The sequence below is a fragment of the Homo sapiens genome, chromosome 21 (genome assembly GCF_000001405.40).
Source record: "Homo sapiens chromosome 21, GRCh38.p14 Primary Assembly".
Lineage (NCBI taxonomy): Eukaryota > Metazoa > Chordata > Mammalia > Primates > Hominidae > Homo > Homo sapiens.
Genome location: NC_000021.9, coordinates 26110460 through 26129738, shown reverse-complemented (window position 1 = coordinate 26129738; position 19279 = coordinate 26110460). Strand labels below are relative to the sequence as shown.

The following is a 19279-nucleotide window of genomic DNA, read 5'->3' as shown; positions in this document are numbered from 1 at the left end:
GTGGGCTTTGCTGCAGATATCCATGTCTTCTACTTTTTCTGTTCTTAGTTCTTATTCACTTATTGTCTATACTTCGTGTCACTTTATTGAATTTCACAAATGCAATTTAGGAATCCAGGGATGTGATAAAATTTGTGCATCTGCTTGTCATTAGCCATCTCACGTTTATATCGCTAAGTGAAAATTTAACTTAGTTTGGAACAAACCACCATGATTTAGTTCACCTGTATAGTTTAAAAGACCTAAGACCTGAAATTTTTTTTTTTTTTTGAAACGGAGTCTCACTCTGTCACCCAGGCTGGAATACATGGTGTGATCTCAGCTCACTGCAACCTCTGCCTCCCGGGTTCAAGCAATTCTCTGCTTCAGCCTCCTGAGTAGCTGGGATTACAGGCAGCTGCCACCACGCATGGCTAATTTTTGTATTTTTAGTAGAGACGGGGTTTCACCATCTTGGCCAGGCTGGTCTTGAACTCCTAACCTCATGATCCACCTGCCTCGGCTTCCCAAAGTGCTGGGATTACAGGCGTGAGCCATGGTGCCTGTCCAAGACCTGGAATTTTACACTGCATTGGGACCTTATAAAATTCTTGACTTGTACCCTTTTGGCATTTTCTGAATGCTCATGATTTGCTTCTGAAATATTTTAGGCCTTTGGAAACACTCCTTCATTCTAATCCTCTCTTTTCTTGCTCTCAATTCTTCATGTCATGTAATTATTTTGCCTAGAGCCAAATCTGATGTGTTATTATAATCATCATTTCTGCAGGAGCTTGGTAACACTCCTGCTTTTGTTCCCTTTAAGGCTTCTTTTGGTTTTGTTTATTTTGTTTCACTCAGAATGATCTGGTTAAGTTTTGCTTGATCATCCATTTCAAATCTCTTAGTACATTTTTCAAATTCAGTTCCAAGCATGTTAAATGTGTCACAATGGAAGTGGCCCACGGTCAAATACATTTTGGGAAACCTTGGTTTTAAAAAAGTTAAACTGACTTCATTATTACGGTTTTTTTTTTCAAAAGCCTCCAGTATCCATCTTGAATGATCCATTTCCCATATGTGTTTTATGACAGAATTCTCCCCACTCCCAGGTAATAACTGTTGACATTTTCTGAAAACTGTTTTTGAGAACACTGAATTAGATATGAAATGAGGCATTTATTCATACTTCGAAACGAATGTCTTAAACCTCACTGGGCCATTTTGAGTATACATTACTAGTGATATATTTAATAACTTAGTGGTATAAGCATGCAATAACAAATTTCTTACACAAGAGAAGTTCTGTGTAGAAACAAATTTAATACTGTGGCTAAAGAAATGAACCAAAAAAATTTAATATCTTGAAATTTGCTTCTTAGCTCTGTTTAGAATCATTGTGATTCACGGATAGTAAATTGTCAGAGTGGACTTCATGAACCTTATATCAGACATTCTGAAAAGAGCTAAAATTGCCATTAAACTGCATGAGTTAAAATATCTTAGATAGTTTAAAAATACTATGTAGACTTGGTGAGTCAGATCTGCCACACTGAGCGTGTAGCTGGGGTTGACGACACACGTGTTGCAGTGTCGTTACCAGTTTGTCTCTTTTAGAGACAACTTGGCAGGCAGACGTCTTGCAGATAAACAAGGAAAGATTGTCTATTTTAAATGGCATAAGACATTCTTTAAACCAGTGTGTCATATGTGGTTATATAGTCAGCATTTTCTTTAGTGCAGGAAATCCTCTCTCAGGGTTCCTGAATAAATAGCAGGTATCTTTGTAGGGATAGCTCGCAGGAGATTTCAAATGCTGTGTATTCATCAGTTCAGGCTCCCCAGATGTCTTACGAACGTGCTCATTTTAGTTTTCTTTTCTTTTCCCTCTTCCTGCTAGATACAAGTTGAGACAATATGATTAGCTCTTAAAGTGCTTACTCTCCATTTTATGTATATTACTGCATTTTAATCCTCATAATATCCTGTGAGGTGGGATGTTACTATGTCCATTTGAGAGATAAAGGAAATCAAGAGGTAAAGTTAACTGGCTTTCTCCAAACAGCTGGTAATTACTAAATACAGAATTGACTTTTGCCTTTTGATTCCAAAGATCATATTGGTACTTTCATGTGTGGGTCCCTTCAGCCAGTTCCTACAGTGACCCTGACCCAGCTGTAAGTCCCCTGAGGTCTCTAGAGATATAGACAGTGATGGATTAGACCCTGTTCATAGTTGCAGATACAAGACATAGAGAGGTTTCTAGCAATAATTTTTTTAGTTATATATTTTCATAGGGCTTTTGATTTATGTAACCTATTAGTATATATTTGTTATTCCAGTAGAGTTAATACATTATTCAAAGAGATTCCAGTTTTTAAGCCTTTTCTCCGTTTGTCTAAGTTGTTCATTATGAAATGATTGGCTAGAATTTGAAAGTCTTTACCTACAGAGAGATTCTGACTGGCTTGCTTGGTCTTGGAACCCTAGTTATGAGTGCATTGTCTTGCTTCCTGGTGAACTTTGCCCAGAAATAGTTACCACCTCATTTTTTTTTTTTAAATGAAAGCTGGATAATTAACCCTCAAGATTTCTTAATTAAAAGATTACTATTATAAATTGACCCACAGGGAGTTAATACAATAAAATTATTTTTGATCATTTTATATGAAATAATTATGGGGCAATCTTCTGTAATCTTGAGTTGAAGGGGTTATCTTGCTTAATGTTAATAACTTTTGATACACCAACTACCTTTTAAAAATTAACGTTTTTTTTTTTTGCTTCTGTGGAAGGGAGGCTGTATTTTGTAGGATTTACAGTTTACATAGTTATTGTTTTATATGATGTCAGTTGGATTAATTATGTTTTGAGTGGAAACTCTGTTTGGTTCAACCAATATTTGAATGCTAATTTTGTTCTGTGAACAAATAGAAATACAGAGAACAGTAAGACATGACTCTTTCCCCCTAAGTAAAGGCTTAGGTTGGAGTTTTCAACCTGGGAATTACTGACATTTTGAGCCAAATAATTGTTTATGTTGGGTGGGGGAGGGCCTACAGCGGAGGCTGCCTGTACATTGTAGGATGTTTAGTAACATCCCTAGCTTCTACCTACTAGATAGATGCCAGTAGCACCACCCAAGTCGTGACAATCATCTTTGCCAAGAACTTTGAACCTCTACCTAGAAACAGTTCATAGGGCTCAAAAAGCAAAGTGGCCTAGGACCCATGTAGTTAACAAGCTTACCCTGTTGGAGAACCACTGCATAGCTGAACAACATGGGTGAGACTAGTGTCAGGGTAAAGGAGCTCTTGACTGGAGATTGGCCGTACACAGAAAACAAAGTGAGTGTTATGGATATTTGGGGATTTACCTTCATTAGGGCACAGTTGGTTAGCGTTAGGTGTACACCAACATTATTCCCTCTTTAGAAACAGCCATGCACGTAACATTTTAGCACATCTGAAGAGGCACTTCTATTCTAATTACCTAAAATTCTTATTATCTAGAATTACATGCTATGAACAACAGCAGTAAAGTCAGAAGCCAGAATCTATGTGATGTTATCTGTTTTGCGATCACAGTTGTGTTCTTCTCTTAGTTTATTTGAACAAGTTTGTGAAAAAATTTTTGTGCTTATGTAAATACTCTTTGCTTAGATTTTTTGGTAGAATGTAAATCTTTCCCACACAGTGCAATACCCCTCCTGCCCAAGGGCGAGATATAGATTGTACAGTTTGTTATTTCTGTGTTTTAGGGCTTATTCCTCTGTAGACATGTCAAAAAGACATCCGTCGGGGGTAAGGAATGCATTAGCAATTCAAGCTGATAATCTGCATGGTGAGAGTCCAGATAATTTTTTCCCCAGGTCACATAGGCAGCTCTGCACAAGTCTGTTAAACATATGCTAGTTTTGAAAATTAAAATAAGTTCCCATCACTCAAGGCAATGAAACGTAGATGAATTGCTCTGCCAGATTGACTCTTAGAACTCCTGATGTGATGTGGGGCTAGACAGAATGGGATGTTTGCTAATAAATCAGGGAGGTAGTGATTGTTTTCCTTCTTTTTCTCCCCCACCCCCGTCAGGACAAACTCACATTCTGTAGCCTGGTGCACTCTAATAATGCCTGTTGACCTTGGCCATGAAAGCACTCTAGACTCACCCCCTAAACACCGCACCGAATGTGCTCATCCTTGAAATTTACAAGCCTTAGAATCTTCCCTACCTCCACTCCTGTTTACTGCCTCCTGTTACTCCTGGTGCTTCCAGTCAGACCGTAGTCTTGGCTGTGCAGTACCTTTAGGAGCCCTCAAAAATGTTTAATTTCTTTTAAAATCAGAAGGAAAAATAAAGAACAAGATAATAATCATGAATATACAATAATGAATCCAGCCTGACTTAGAGTTGTCTTTATACCAATCAACAGAGCCCTAAAATATAGCTTTTAATGTTTTTTTAAGAGAGAAAGAGGCCCACGAAAGTTGTCCTGGGGCCCCCGCATCCTCCTCATACACTGGTGGGATGCTGCTCTTGCTTGCTTTGGAATGTGGCAGCAGCTCCCAGTGACTTCACACGTTTATTACAAATTCAAGGTCATTTGGACGCTAGCCTTGTGCTACCTTTCATGCTTCCTGTCCGACCCATACTCAGCCTGGGCATGTTTTCTGCTCTGATCTTTGGTCTGCCTTCCTTCTCCTTCTCCAAGTCAAACCAGTCACTCTTTCCTGAGAGCTCTTCGGTGTACCCTTGCCAGACCTCTGCATTAACACTCCAGCACCTTTGGTTAGCCAATTTGGCCTTATTTGTGTCTCCACCATTGGATTATCTGTCCATCAAGGTCAGGAATGTTTTCGGGTTACCCCACTGTCCCCAACTTTGAATATGTTCACTGCCTGGAAAATGTTTATCTGAATATAAGGCATCAAGCCAGAACTTGCCCAAAACTTAACCTAGGACTCAAACAGCTTTGAAATCTTATCTGTGTAGAGTGGGAACGGCATGTGTTTGATAACCATCAGCATTTGCTGTTTTGCTTAGCCATCAACAATCCGTTTCTATCTCTTCCTCATAGTATTTTCAGCTGTATTTTTGTACAGCAGTCATTCACGTTAGGTGTTAGGTTACACTGAAATCTCTGACAACCAGTTCTGTGCTACTGAAGGCTTTTAGCAGCAGGATTAAAAAAATAGTTGATTGCACATTCGAAGTCTCACTGCTCACACTGTTTATGTAATTCTTGGAGTCCAGTTAGATCATCTGATTTTTAAAATGTTGCCTGAATTACAAAGGAGTTCAGGAATGTGTTATCAAAGAATTAGGAAATTAACATTGAAATTTATTGAGCAACATAGCTAATAGGTTGTCTTGCTTTTTAAGCCTTCTTGTTTTCTAGGAGGAGCCTGAAGTCCGTGGACAAGTTGAACTGTAGCTGGTATTTAGGAATTGGTAAAGACAGAGGTGTGGATGCTATGTTTTCTTTTCTCTGTTAGGAAATTACTCTCCTGGTGCCACAATAAAAAATTTCACAGGTATCTAAAGTGGAATTTATTTTGTATTGTTCCACACCTTTGTCAATAATTACATTTTCTACCTTCTAGTTTATTACTGTTATTATTTTTCATGCCAGGTGTTTCTTAATTGTTGGCATAAGTATTTATTGAATGCTTATATGTGGGAGTGAGAGAGTCAGGCCAGTGCTAAAGAGTAGGGAATAACCCCTAGACAGTGAAGTAACTTTTGTCTTGTTTGCACATTAAAAAAAAAAAAAGATTAGGAATCCTTGCTCTATATACTAGAAATGTTTGATGTTCTCTTTTCTTCTCTTCAAACAGAGAAAACTTAGATGAATACTTATAGGCTCTACTGTCAACTAACTGCACCCTCCTAATATTGGCGTCTGCATATTTTTACCATTGTCAATATCAGATTGCCTCTGATGTTGTGTCACTGAAACTGATAGTAACATTACATCCAAGAGTAAGACTGCAGTGTGATTTTTGGCTCTTGGTCTTCTGTTCTTTCGGCAACAATTTTTTATAAATATAGTCAAGAAAATAGAAATAAGAGTCTTCACTGCTACCTCCCCTTCAGAATTATTTTCTCCTAGTATTGTGGTTCCTGATAGCCTTTATTCCTATAGAAATGGCAATTCGAAAAATTCCTTCTGTGAATCTGAGGGCTCTACAAAGGGAGAGCTTCTTTGATAGTGCTTTGGTGTAAGTTATTTAAGAAGGACAATCTACCCAGGCTTATCAAGCAAATAACCTGGAATTTAAACCTGGAGTATTCTTTAGTGTTCCAAGTCTGCAGGAAAAGAAGTAATCTTGGCTTAAACTAAATAAGTTAACAGAATACAATTTGAACAATGAACAAGAATGCTGTTTGAAAATTATCTTGGGTTTTTATGTCAAGTTAATATTCTCACTGAATTTCTATTATGTTTGTAAAGCAGCTTTCTCCTAGACCAAAAATCCTAGTAATAAAACCACAACAGTATGAGAGTTATAAGCACACAGTAAAGGCTGATGAGTAAATGTTATGACACTTTGAAAGGAAATAAACCAGACGATATAATGTAAATATCCTTTGTGCTTATCAAAAATAAGTGACTTCATGTTCTGTTCCTGCAATATTTCTGTAAATCTGCTAAAAATAGAAAGGTAAAGGTCTAAGATCATAAATCTCTGATGCCCTTTCCTTAAAAGTAAGGAATTCTTGTCTTGGATTCTTATATAATATACTTATTTATAATCTCACTTGTTCTGATTGCAGGTGGCCTCTTACTATCTTTACATCCATGTGAATGTGTGTGCTTTGATGTGTACATATGAGAGACAAGAACAAAAGTAAATGTCAAATATCCGAATTCCTGTTTCAGTGAGCTTTCACGGAGTAAATTCTTTTTGTCTACTTGCCTGTGATCTCTTCTAATATGACTTGCGTTAATGACCTTTAAGAAATCTTTTAATAAAATAAAAAATTTTATTAAAATCTTTTAATAAAAAAATTTTATTAAAATCTTCTAATAAAAAATTTTATTAAAATCTTCTTCATACGTGTTACTTGAATTTACTCATGGCAAGGACCAGTTAGTACCATTTTATGAAATCACAAGCTCATGGGCTTGTGATAAAACATATAAGTGCTTTAAATTTGGCATTGGTAACGGCAGGCCGACTCACTTGAAAAATGCTCTGAACTGCTCTGCCTCATGCTGGTGGGAAGTCAGATGGAAATGACTTTCTAGAGAGTTTAGCTGGCCTCCAAGCTTAGTGGGTACTCACTCTCCTTATCCCCCGATAGCTGCTCTGAGATTTTAATGCACATTGAAGACAATATGATAACTTAACCTGGAAAATTAGCATTTTGGTAAGGGTCTTTAACTTCATTAGTATTTTCATACCACTTTGGTATTAGAAATTGTAAAGATATTAAAGGGTATGGACAATGTGGAATGTATGTACCAGACTCAGCAGTGTATACTGACTCCCTCACTATAGCCCAGAACTGGAAATCCCGCTAACTACCTCTCCCCATCCTAGCCTGAATTGCCCTCTCCACCTATGTTGGTTTTACAATGGCCTGACGCCTGAAAGCTGGTAGAAACTGTATAGGAAAATAGGGTTGGGATAAATTTCTGGGCTGACAAAGGATAGAGGAATATGCTTCTTTTTCCCCTTGTCCAAGTATATCAGCAACTCTAAGATGCAGATTTATCAGTATGGCTCTACTGGGCATGTTCTAGTTAAATGGTAGACCCACTACCTCTTCTGGAATCTTGTTTTCCATTATATTCCCACCTGCAGCTTTTCAAAGACTTATTCTCTTCTCTAATGGTCTCTTGGTTCTTTTTTTTGCCCATGCTCTACGTTCCGAGTGGGTCAACATTGCAGTGGGTCAATGAGAAGAAATAGAGGGGAAAAATAAAAGAACCAGAAAGAAACCTGTTAAGTTTGCACTTACTTGTGCATTAAGCATATTAGCGTAAGCCTTAAACTCTAGAAAACTCACTGTAGTGCTGTAAAGTACCACTGATAAAGTAAAAGTTCATTTTTATGCTGTGTCGTTATTTAGTGATGAATATGATATTGCATAAAAGATGAGGATCTGTAAGGCCAGGCGCGGTGGCTCACGAGGTCAGGAGTTCGAGATCAGCCTGACCAACATGATGAAACCCCATCTCTACTAAAAATACAAAAATTAGCCGGGTGTGGTGACGCGCGCCTGTAATCCCAGCTACTCAGGAGGCTGAGGCAGGAGAATCGCTTGAACCAGGGAAGTGGAGGTTGCAGTGAGCTGAGATCACGCTACTGCACTCCAGCCTGGGCGACAGAGTGAGACTCCGTCTCCAAAAAAAAAAGATGAGGATCTGTGTATAACTGCCAGGTGTTGTGTGAGGTACCATGAATAACCTGGCAATATCCTAACTGTGCAGGTATGAGGAGTGACCCCCAGGAATATAATTGCAATTAAACTTGCAAATTATGTGGGGATACTCTATTTCAGGGCAATAAAATAAATTATGTCTAGAGCTCATAACTCTTACACATATTTGGCTAGGTCTATGCAGCAAAACCCAGGTGATAACTGAGGCTTTAACTTTGGGATTTGTTTGGTGCTGACTCTGCCACATGGTGAAATTTGGTAGGATCTCAGTGCGAGTGTCACATGATCAGTCTGCTTGACCCAACATGCCAGAATTCCATTTCTCAGCCCACTCTCTTCTCTGCATACATACCTACCTCCCGGAGAGGGCTGGGCGGGAGCCTACGTGTGGCAAGAGCCCTCACTGCTTTTGTTACACAGATTTCAACACATATGGCTTGATGGAGTGTGATTGCAGTAGCATGAATGTTTGGTGATGAAATTTGCATGTCCTTTGCTGGGAGAAGTATAATTATAAGATTTTTGTATTCACATAGCCACATGTGAGGTATGAGCAGGAACGGGGTCTATTTAATAGCATTAGATTGCTTTCAGATTTGAAATATTTCCTTTTAGAAATATATTGTGTAAACAAAATATGTTTAATTTTTTTTAAAAACTATGCCTTTGTACAAATTGTTTATCATTTGCAGAGGTCTAAAAAATGTAGGAGAAAAGAAGCTCACAAAATCAATCAGATCTAAAGATTGCAAAGATTGATTACCATCTCCTTAAAAGCTTCAGTACATGTGTTTACAGTATCATTCTATTTGCCTCTGCTCAGATTCTTTCCAATTCTAGGACAACCCAAAGTGTATAGATCATAAGCCATAACTGATCCTACCTTACATAATACATTAAATATAAAATATTTATGGCCAGGCATGGTGACCAGTTCTGTAATCCCAGCACTTTAGGAGACCAAGGCAGGAGGAACACTTGAGGCCAGGAAGTTGAGACCAGCCTCGGCAACATACTGAGACCTTGTCTCTACAGAAAAATTAGCCAGGTATGGTGGTATGGGCCTGTACTCCCAGCTGCCTAAAAAAAGGCAACTTGAGAAAGTTTCTACCTTCTGAAACAATCTATGCCTTGATTCTATCACTTAGTATTTTAGTTATTCCTATCAAATACATGACTGTGTTAATTTCTTTTGCCACAAAAATGCTGCAAAGCCACAAACTCACTCCAAAATTTAGTGGCTTAGAACAATAACCATTTATTATAGCCCACAAGCTCAAGGGTCAGCTGATCCCGGCTTAGCTTGGCTACATTTGATATAAAACAGTAGAAATTTAGAAATTGAATATATGTAGAATATCTCTTGTACCAAAAATGAAGAGGAATAATAGATTTTGATTTTTCTTTGTTGTATTCTGTGCTGGGTGCTAATCTGTCCTAGCTGTCAGAACAAGTAGAAGCCATACTGGAAAATCATTTATTTGTTACTATCAAATTTATTTCAGTGAATGCCATTCAAACCACTCTCTCTGAGGAGCCCAGTTACCAAGTCCTCCACCTTGTTAGCAACATGGACTTAAATGCACTAATTCTAGAATGAGATCTTAGCAAAGTACCAGCATTTGAGATTTGTGCAAATTGAGCTCTTAAACTGTGTGTATATGTGTGTGTGTGTGTGTGTGTTCATTCTAGCACTCCCACTACATACCATACAAGTAGCTGTATAGCAGGTATATATACATGTGTATATGTACATAGGTAGGTATATGTCAACTGTTGAAAAACTAGAAAATACACATTAAATAAAGTAAGGGTTGATAAACATTAGTAGTTGGAACATTGGGAGATTTGGACTTCTACTTTGCAGATTCAGTTGGCTGCATTAGATTTAAGGAAAGAACTAACTTTGGAGAAATTTGTGTTTGCATTTCAGGAGAGATTTCTTAAAGAGGAAACTACCAGAGGTTAGTAGATATTAACATCTAGTGATTTAAATTTGAGAAATGCAAATTAGACATTTAAGCTGTGGGTTTGCTTCCCGTTTTACTTGCTCTAAAAGTAATTTTTTTAAAAGCCAGTAACAAAGACATGCAAAATAGTACTGCCATGGGGGAAAAATTACTTGAAAATAATATTCAAGATTGAAGAATTAAAAAAGCTTGACATCTAGTACCAGGAATGCCAGCTGGCTTGTTCTGTCAAAAAGCAAGCATGTGCTTTGGAATAACACTCTTGAGTAGACTCTAGGCGGGTTTTGAGCCCTTCTGATTATCTAAATAGATGTGGAAGTGACTTATCTTGGTTTTTCTGAGTCAAATGAGATAATGAGCAAAGGCCTTAGTAGGTCTTTGATTTTTGCCTCTAACCCTTTTTCTATCTGCATGTTCACAAGGTCAAGGCTGATGAGATATGGCAATATTGAGAGAGTCAGAATAGGATAAAGATCTCAAATACTATATATATATTTTTTTTTCATTTTTTTTTCCCTTTGGTGACTGTATGAGACATGTCAGTAAAACTTTAAAGACAGGCCAGGCGTTGTGGCTCATGCGTATAATCCCAGCACTTTGGGAGGCCGAGGCGGGCAGATCACTTGAGGTCAGGAGTGGCAACATGGCAAAAACCCGTCTCTACTAAAAAATACAAAAATTAGCCAGGCGTAGTGGTGCACGCCTGTAGTCCCAGCTACTCAGGAGGTTAAAGCACAAGAATCGCTTGAACCCAGGAGGCAGAGGTTGCGGTGAGCCGAGATCACCCCGCTGCACTCCAGCCTGGGCGACTGAGCAAGACTCTGTCTCAGAAAACGAAACAAAACAAAAGACACACAGAAAAACTGTAAAGACAGAATGAAAGAGATGAACTTTTTACATCTCGCTCATTTCATCACATACTATATAGTATGTGTATGGTTTCATATATGTTAGTGTGTGTGTATGTATATATATGAAGTTAAAAGAAAACATTCACCTTTTAAGACTAAATGGACATTGACTAGATTGTAAACTGTTTTTGAGGCTAAGAGTTTGTTTGCCATGCATAAGGCTCTATTTTTTGTAATTCCACTTTTATATTCATTTATATCAGTCCTAGCAGTAGATGCCACTCTTACTGGGTCCTGCCTAAATGCATGCTTCAAATGTTGGTTATTAATTTCACGAGTAGTGAATAACAAAGACTCCTATTGAGGGACCTCTTGATTTCCTACTGGGCACCAGCAGCAAGCATGACTTACTGGCCTTCTTATGAGTGGGTAGGAGTTTTGGGTCAACTTGAGAACATCTATCCTTTGAGTAGTAAAAAAGCTTGGTATTAGGTTGGCACAAAAGTAATTGCGATTTTTGCACCAATCTAATATCAACAGAGGCCGTGAAAAACATCAAGGGAGGATAGCTTGTAATTAGAAGCCAGATCAACAGTGACCCAAAAAGAATTTCAGGTTTCCAGGAGTGAAATATGTAGATTACTCCTCTGAAAGGAATTGTTTTTCTCCTATTCGCTTTCATGGCAAATCATTTTTTAAGCCGAAACTCAAGCTCTGAAATAATTGTGTAGCAAATAGTGGCTGTGAATAGATGTGGCAACTCTCCACAAGGGTAAATAGAAACCACTTGCAGTTTCAGTCATCACATTTTATTTTTCTTTTTTAATAGCTTCTCTATTTTTGCTCACCACAAATACATGCACACACACACACAGGGGCAAAGCCTTGGAAAATTGCAATTTTCCATTTTAATTTGAGAGACAGCCCGGTCACATTAACAGAACCCTTGACGGAATAGGTTGAATTCCCTTCTCTGTCCCTATAACCCCATGGCCTTGGACATATCCTTACCTGGTGCCCTTTCCTCCCTCTTATGGTCCACTTTTGTGATTCTGATTTTAATTTCAGTTCTCTGTTAGTGATGAAATGAGCAACTGCAGATGTTCCGCTTACACTGGAAATACTTTTTTGGCATTTAAAAGAAAACCCTACAGATGAATTATTCCCCTGAAAGGGGTTCACTCAGATTTTCTAGATTATGATTCTAGAAAATAGTTCTTTACATTTGACAATGGAGAATTTAAATGTTTTAATATGAAAATGTAAAGCACTCTTGTGGGGTATAGTTGAATTATGCCCAGGTTAAGGGAATCCAGTATTTATGTCAGGAAACCATGGATGTGATAGAAATAGTATCGCTACAAAGCTGGGCACAGTGGCTCATGCCTGTAATCCCAACATTTTGGGAGGCCGAGGCAGGAGGATCACTTGAGGCCAGGAGTTCGAGACCAGCCTGGCCAACATGGTGAAACCCTGTCTCTACTAAAAATACAAAAATTATCTGGGCGTGGTGGCACAGGCCTGTAGTCCCAGCTACTTGGGAGGCTGAGGCAGGAGAATAGCTTGAACCTAGGAGGCGGAGAGGTTGCAGTGAGCCGAGATCATGCCACTGCACTCTAGTCTGGGTGGTGGAGTGTGACAGTGTATCCAAAAAAAAATACTGAGATTATGCAAGAATCTGACTCGAAGAAGTTTGAACTGATTAAAAAGTACCAAATACTTCATTATATGAGGCCAGCTATTTAGACTAGTCAGCGGGTGGTTCAAATGCAGAAAACAGATGGCTTTCATTAGCCAGAAACCTTAAAATTACATAAATCCACGGATGCAACTAAGCTATGGATCTGTGCCCTCTCCTTGCCAAACAGGACCTCTCAGCTAGCAAAACAGAGAGCTCCTTGTTCACTTTTCCCTCCTAGTTGAGACCCTGTTGGGGAGGAATGCTGCCAAGCCTGCTCTATAAGGAATTTTGATCTCCTAGATGATAACAGAGAGAAACTTTTTGGAGAAAGGGAACACCCTGTTTGAAAGGACAACAAGAGAACTTGTTCAAGAAGGTGGCTTTGCATTTAATTGAAAATTGTAGCAACTGTAGGCGTAGGGTTTCCAGATTCACATCTGCAGACTGGTCCAGATTAGGTATATATGTTTATATTCGTTTATGTTATCCCCTTAAGCCTCTTTTAAAGCCATTTCTAAAAATTGCTTTGGAAAGTCCATTTCACTTCAGTATTCTTTATATTGTGGCTCAAAAATATTTTTTTTCTGGTAACAAAAATATTTTCTTTCTGTTTTTAAGACTTGTAGCATTTTTAAGTTTGATATGTACGTCTCTGTAGTTCAGAGCACTTGGTAAACAGCCTCTTGCTTTTGAGGCAATTTATGAATGCTTCATTGTTTTTAGCTGGTTATTTTGTTCATTGTCAGGAACACTGTTTTCCCATGGGAAAGCATCTCCAGTTTTATGATGTCAGTGGCAAGTCATTCAGTTTACAAGAATTACCTTCATATTCAGTCTTAGAAAAGCATAGACCACAAACGGCCAGTTATATCACAGTTCTCATCTTTTAAATGTTGTCTTAGATTTTTGCAAAGTAATCTTAACTCACCTTAGAATAGTGTTAAGACATAAATAGAACTAAAATGTAGTAGTTAAGTGGTTATATTTCCCATCTACTAAGGTATTTATATTTCTTTTCTTTTAGAAAATAAAAATGTTTAAAAAATTAGGAATAATTATCTTTAGGATGACTTTGTAAGACTGTGCTTTTTTACTGGCAGCAAATACCTGCCAGATTTCAGGTATTTGGCAGGTAAATTGAATCTTAAAAGATTTCAATTTTAAGAGTGTCCATATTAACAGATCCTGAATAGGACCCTGTGTATCATTTATTAAGTCATTTCTTGGAGGCTTCACTCAGGAAAAGGGAGTTAACCCTTGGATGGCAATGTTTAATGTGGCCACATTTCCTTCTGGCTGAATGCCAGGGAGTGGCTGCGCTTAGCAACCAGGCTTTGTTTCATAAATGGGTTATTTGATGCAGGTGAGGATGCCGTGAGTTGTTTGTCTTGTTTTAATTCAGGGAGACAGGCATATGTAGTGAAAGCATGGAATTGTTTGCAGATGGGCTTCAGTAAGAATAGGAAGGTTTCTGGTTCAATTTGTATCTCCAAGCTAATTGCTCTGATTTCCATATACACATCTGGTGTTGGTTCGGGGGGAAAAAATTTTACTTGAGAAACATGGCTTTTGTGAGTTGATATTTATTTGTGAAGGGCCTCTTGTAATGTCAAATGTAAGAAGATCTATACACACAACCAATTTTACAATTTCTAATTCAACAGCTTACCCTATTATTGAGGATTCGCAGTTTAAATTATTAAATGATCTCCACTTGAAGAAAATAGAGCATGTTAATCATCACGATTCTCCAAACATTTATTTTTAAAGTTAATATTAAATCTCATCTGGTGGAAAACCTGACAGGAACTGAAGCATATATTTTCTAGTCTAAACTCTCATTGTTAAAATGAAGACAACATGAGACAGTTATAGCGCCGTAATCAAGTTATTTGAAAAAAATGTTTTAAAAATTACCACTTTTTGGTAGTCAACATACACACATATGCCAACAGATGGCATTAAAAAATGGCAAGAACATGAGACAATTATAGGGTCATAATAAATTTATTTGAAAAAAATGTTTAAAAAATTACCACTTTTTGATAGTCAGCATACACACATATGCCAACAGATGACATTAAAATAGCTGTAAAGTCAAGAAGCAGGGAGGATGACAAAGTGAAAAATAGAAGAAATCAAAGGAAGTTAAGTCAAAAGAGGAAAAAAAAATGAAGCATTTACTTGGTTTGTCAGGTAGGGTGATCCAGTGTATTTTGCCAAAAACTTTCCTGGTTTTAGCACCAAATGTCTCAGAACATGGCAGCTGATGACCTCCCTCACAGTGAGTGATCCCAGAGAGCAATGAAGAATTGTGATGCCCTTCATGACCTTGTTTTGGATGTTACACATCATCATGCCCTTCAGTGACCTTTCTGGTAGCAAAGGGTTTGTTTTTAAAAGAGTTGCAGCATCTTTAAGTCTAATATATACATGCTCGGAAGTTACACCATCATCACTTCTGCTGTACTCCATTTGTTGCACAGACAGACCCTGATACATTGTGGAGTTTCCCAGGGTCCATGAATAGCAGGAGGCAGGGACTATTGGGGGCCTTCTTGGAGGCTGGCTACCCTGGGGAGAGAAATTGTCAATTTCCTCTCCTTGCGGGGAGGAAATGGAATCAAGTGCATTTGTATTGACAAGAAGGTAGAACGCTTTCCTTAGACATTGTAATGAACAGATTGTGGATAAACAAAAGTACAGAGAGAGTTTGAGGCAGAGGAGGAGACTGTTTCAACAGAATATTTACCAGCTATGGTAAAGGCTCATTAGTGTCTCCGTACAGTTAACAACATGCTGCCAAGACTGGAAATCTTTGGGACAGGAATGAATTCGGAAGGTGAACAGAATAAAGTACTGTGGGAACAATGGCGATTCCATTAGTGGATTGTACATTCCTTACGGGCAGGGCCCTCCATAGCATCTGATGTAGGGCCTTATCCACAGGTATCTGATTATTATTTGACTTTCTTTAATGTTTTTGCAGTGTTATTATCTATACTACTTATTTCAGTAAGATTGACAACATTTGCATTTCGATTTCTAAGATCAAGACAATGAATTTCCTCTTAATCCCTCAGGAAAGCTGTGAAATTTAAATTTATAGAGCATTCTACTTAGCCTGCTGCTTTGCATCTGTCAGAGAATGAGACCCCCCAGTTTCATGGAAGTCACAGGAAGTGGCAAGGGGCTCAGATGGAGTTGAGGGGTTCTAGCTATTTCTGCAGATGATCTGGATATTTTGGCATCGGCTGCTTTGACTTAACCATCTGGCAATGTAAAGGCAGAATTTCGTTAAATATTGGAAAAGTTACTTGAAAACATGGCTCTAGAGATTTTGCCAGCAGCTTTTGCACTCATGACTTGGTTCAATCTAAGACCTGTTTTGTTTTTTTGTTGTAAGGACCTAAGTCCTCTGTTGGGTTTTGACGAAGTATGTGTAAAAATGACTAAAATGGCCAGAGGTATCTTATTTTACATTTATGTGGGAAGAAATGTTTGGAAACTGTTTCATTTCTTTAACTGAAAATTTCTCAGTGCAATTTTAGTTGGTGTTTTTCCTCCTGTGGACAGTTTTTAGGAATGATACAAGTTATCGTGGAATCACCCAGTTCTTGAGTGTGTGAACGAATGGCTTCTGCTGGAAGTTAATTCTTCTTGGCATGGGTGTCTCACATTTCCCCAGCAGCTGGATTTGACAAGGGAGGGCCTATCATGATTAATATGCCTTCTAATTGATTGGTTTAATAACACCTTTACTCCTGTGGATATATTTTTCATTTCTTGCTGAATTTTTTTTTCTTTTTGAGATACCAGAACCTGTTAAGTGACACGGTATAGATATTTCAGGACTTCCATTTTCTCTTTTAAAAATATTTTTGTAAAGGTAATGCCTGTACACAGAAGAGTTTGAAAATACAGAAGGCACCCTTTTTCATGAAGTTATTTTGTGAAGTGGTCTATTGCCTGCAATGGTAATAGCTAGGACCCCTTACTTACTACCCAGCAGGCACTATGTAGAGCTCCAAATGAGAAAATGTTGGCTCCTTGCAGATGGTTGGGAGAGGAGACACCAGCACTCTTAACAGACTTGTTAAGAGTTGAGACTGATAACCAGAGAATATTCTGGGGGAAACCAGGAGGGATCGCCAACATACTCAGTTATATTTGTGGATGGTGAATTCTACAGTGAATTTTTCTGTTCAAAATCATAATACAGTCACTTGCTAACTACCAACGCCATACTTGCTCTCAGTGCTGAGAGGTGGCACAAATATTATTTTCAGTCTTGGTCATCAGGCAGGGCCTGGCAGGCATCATGCTCTGTGTGAGTCAGTGGAGTTTATTATAAGAATGCGGTAGCCTCCACAGTGATTATATTTATTATAGGAAAACGTGTAATTTTGTTGTCAGAACCTTTCAGCAGGTACCACAAAATCTCATATGGGAAAACGTGTAAATTTTTCATGAATAAATTCCTTTCGGTATTGGTAATTTCCTTCTCTGTTTTAGTATAAAAGAAAGCATTGCCTTATAGGTGGCTAAGAACATCTGTAGCATACATAACACTTAATCTAAAGGAGTGTTGAAGACCGGGCTGATTCCTAATTGAGAATGAGCAAGAATAGAACTCTTTTTGATAGTTATCCCTGTTCTTCCTCCAAGCCTCTGCCTTGGAGCTATGGATACTATAACTAACTGAAGCTTCTTCTTTCAGGTACCCACTGATGGTAATGCTGGCCTGCTGGCTGAACCCCAGATTGCCATGTTCTGTGGCAGACTGAACATGCACATGAATGTCCAGAATGGGAAGTGGGATTCAGATCCATCAGGGACCAAAACCTGCATTGATACCAAGGAAGGCATCCTGCAGTATTGCCAAGAAGTAAGTCCTGTCCGGTGGCTAGCAATTCACGTTGGATCACATGCATTTGTTTTCAAAAAATTTAACTTCTTGTATTTTGCATCAGTATTTTAACCCTACAGTAAAAATCTTGGTTCCTAATGATTCACCATACCATTAATATATTTATTTGCATTACCCTATGATATACATATAAATGTTTTTAAAATTATGATGTCGTATTATGACCATCACTAAACAGTAGTTTAAGATGTCACAGCACTTTTTTTTTTCCTCACTCTGTCACCCAGGTTGGAGTGCAGTGGCAAGATTATGGCTTACTGTAGCCTTGACCTACTGGGCTCAAGCAATCCTCCCACCTCAGCCTCCCAAGTAGCTGGACTATAGGCACATGCCACCAGGCCTGACTGATTTTTTTTAATTTTTAGTAGAGATGGGGTCTCCTTGTGTTGGCCAGGCTGTCTGAAACTCCTGGGCTCAAGCGATCCTCTGGCTGGACCTCCCAAAGTGCTGAGATTACGGGTATGAGCCACCATGCTCAGCCCTCCACACTCCTTTCATCTTCAGTATATATCTCACCACGGCTCTACAGTCAAGGTCTTTTGGTTAAAAGTGCTAGCATTAATTTTTTTCTGTTACCAGCTTGATACATATTTTAGTTCATTTGTATCTGTTTGTATTCTATTATAGTTTGGTTTTTTCCTCCCTTATTAATTTTACTTTTTGACTATCATGTTAGTTCTATGAAATATACTCAGAAAGCTCACTTTTCACTCATTCTCTATTGATAAACATTTTCATTGTTCCTGATTTATTTTTTTGGCAAAAGAAAATACATATTTTTCCTTCTTGTACAAAAAAAGTACAAAGTTCACTGTTCTGCACTTTGCTTTTTTTTTTTTTTTTTTTTTTAACTTAACTTTGTATCCTGGAAATCATCCTTTGTCATTTCGTGGAGATCTTCATTTTTGTTTAATTCTTTGTAGTCTTTTTGCTGTTACTATACAGGGTGCTCCTTTCTTATTCAATTTAAAATAGCTGGAGTTCCAGGCATTTTATCTCACACTTCTTAGATAGTTATCTCTGCATGTGACTGCATCTTAAGAACATTAGAAGTAATTAGTCTTATGCTTGTTGGCAAAGCAGAATTCTCGACACTCATTATAAACAGCAGATAGCCTGGCAACATTTTCTTTTGTTGTAATCCTTTTTGTACTAGAAATTTTTCTTTAGCCTACTTGGATAATGAATGTTTGTTGTTTAATTAATATTACTATTCTATTGAGATCCTTTTATTTTAAATTGTAAATACTAAAATTATTATTATTAAAAGGTTTAATTTGTTTTGATAGCGCTCTGTTTAAGAAAGGACAAGCTCTAATTACTAATTGGTGTTTTGAGAAGCAAAAAGCATCTACATTATCACAATATATTACATATTAAGTAATTTTTATCTTGAAAGGAGTATGAACCATGATGTGAAATGATGAATAGTGGAAATCACTAATACTTAAGTTCATTATATGTATTTTTTGTTTTG

General features: G+C 37.9%; 1 protein-coding gene and 1 long non-coding RNA gene across 12 annotated transcripts in view; both read left to right on the top strand.

Annotated features, from left to right (window-relative positions):
• LOC124900466 (uncharacterized) overlaps nt 1-7033 on the top strand; it is a 34434-nt gene extending 27401 nt beyond the window's left edge. The window contains exon 2 of the long non-coding RNA XR_007067829.1: nt 6757-7033. This is a non-coding gene — a long non-coding RNA (uncharacterized LOC124900466). The remainder of the gene's footprint in view (nt 1-6756) is intronic.
• Nucleotides 1-19279, top strand: part of APP (amyloid beta precursor protein) — a 290579-nt gene that overhangs the window by 41390 nt on the left and 229910 nt on the right. For 9 of the 11 annotated variants that reach the window (NM_001136131.3, NM_001204303.2, NM_201414.3 and 6 more), the window contains exon 2: nt 17593-17760. The exons of the other annotated variants lie outside the window; for them this stretch is intronic. In NM_001136131.3, the coding sequence (NP_001129603.1) occupies nt 17641-17760 (120 nt within the window). In that variant the 5' untranslated portion in view covers nt 17593-17640. The remainder of the gene's footprint in view (nt 1-17592; nt 17761-19279) is intronic. 11 annotated transcript variants of the gene reach the window in all.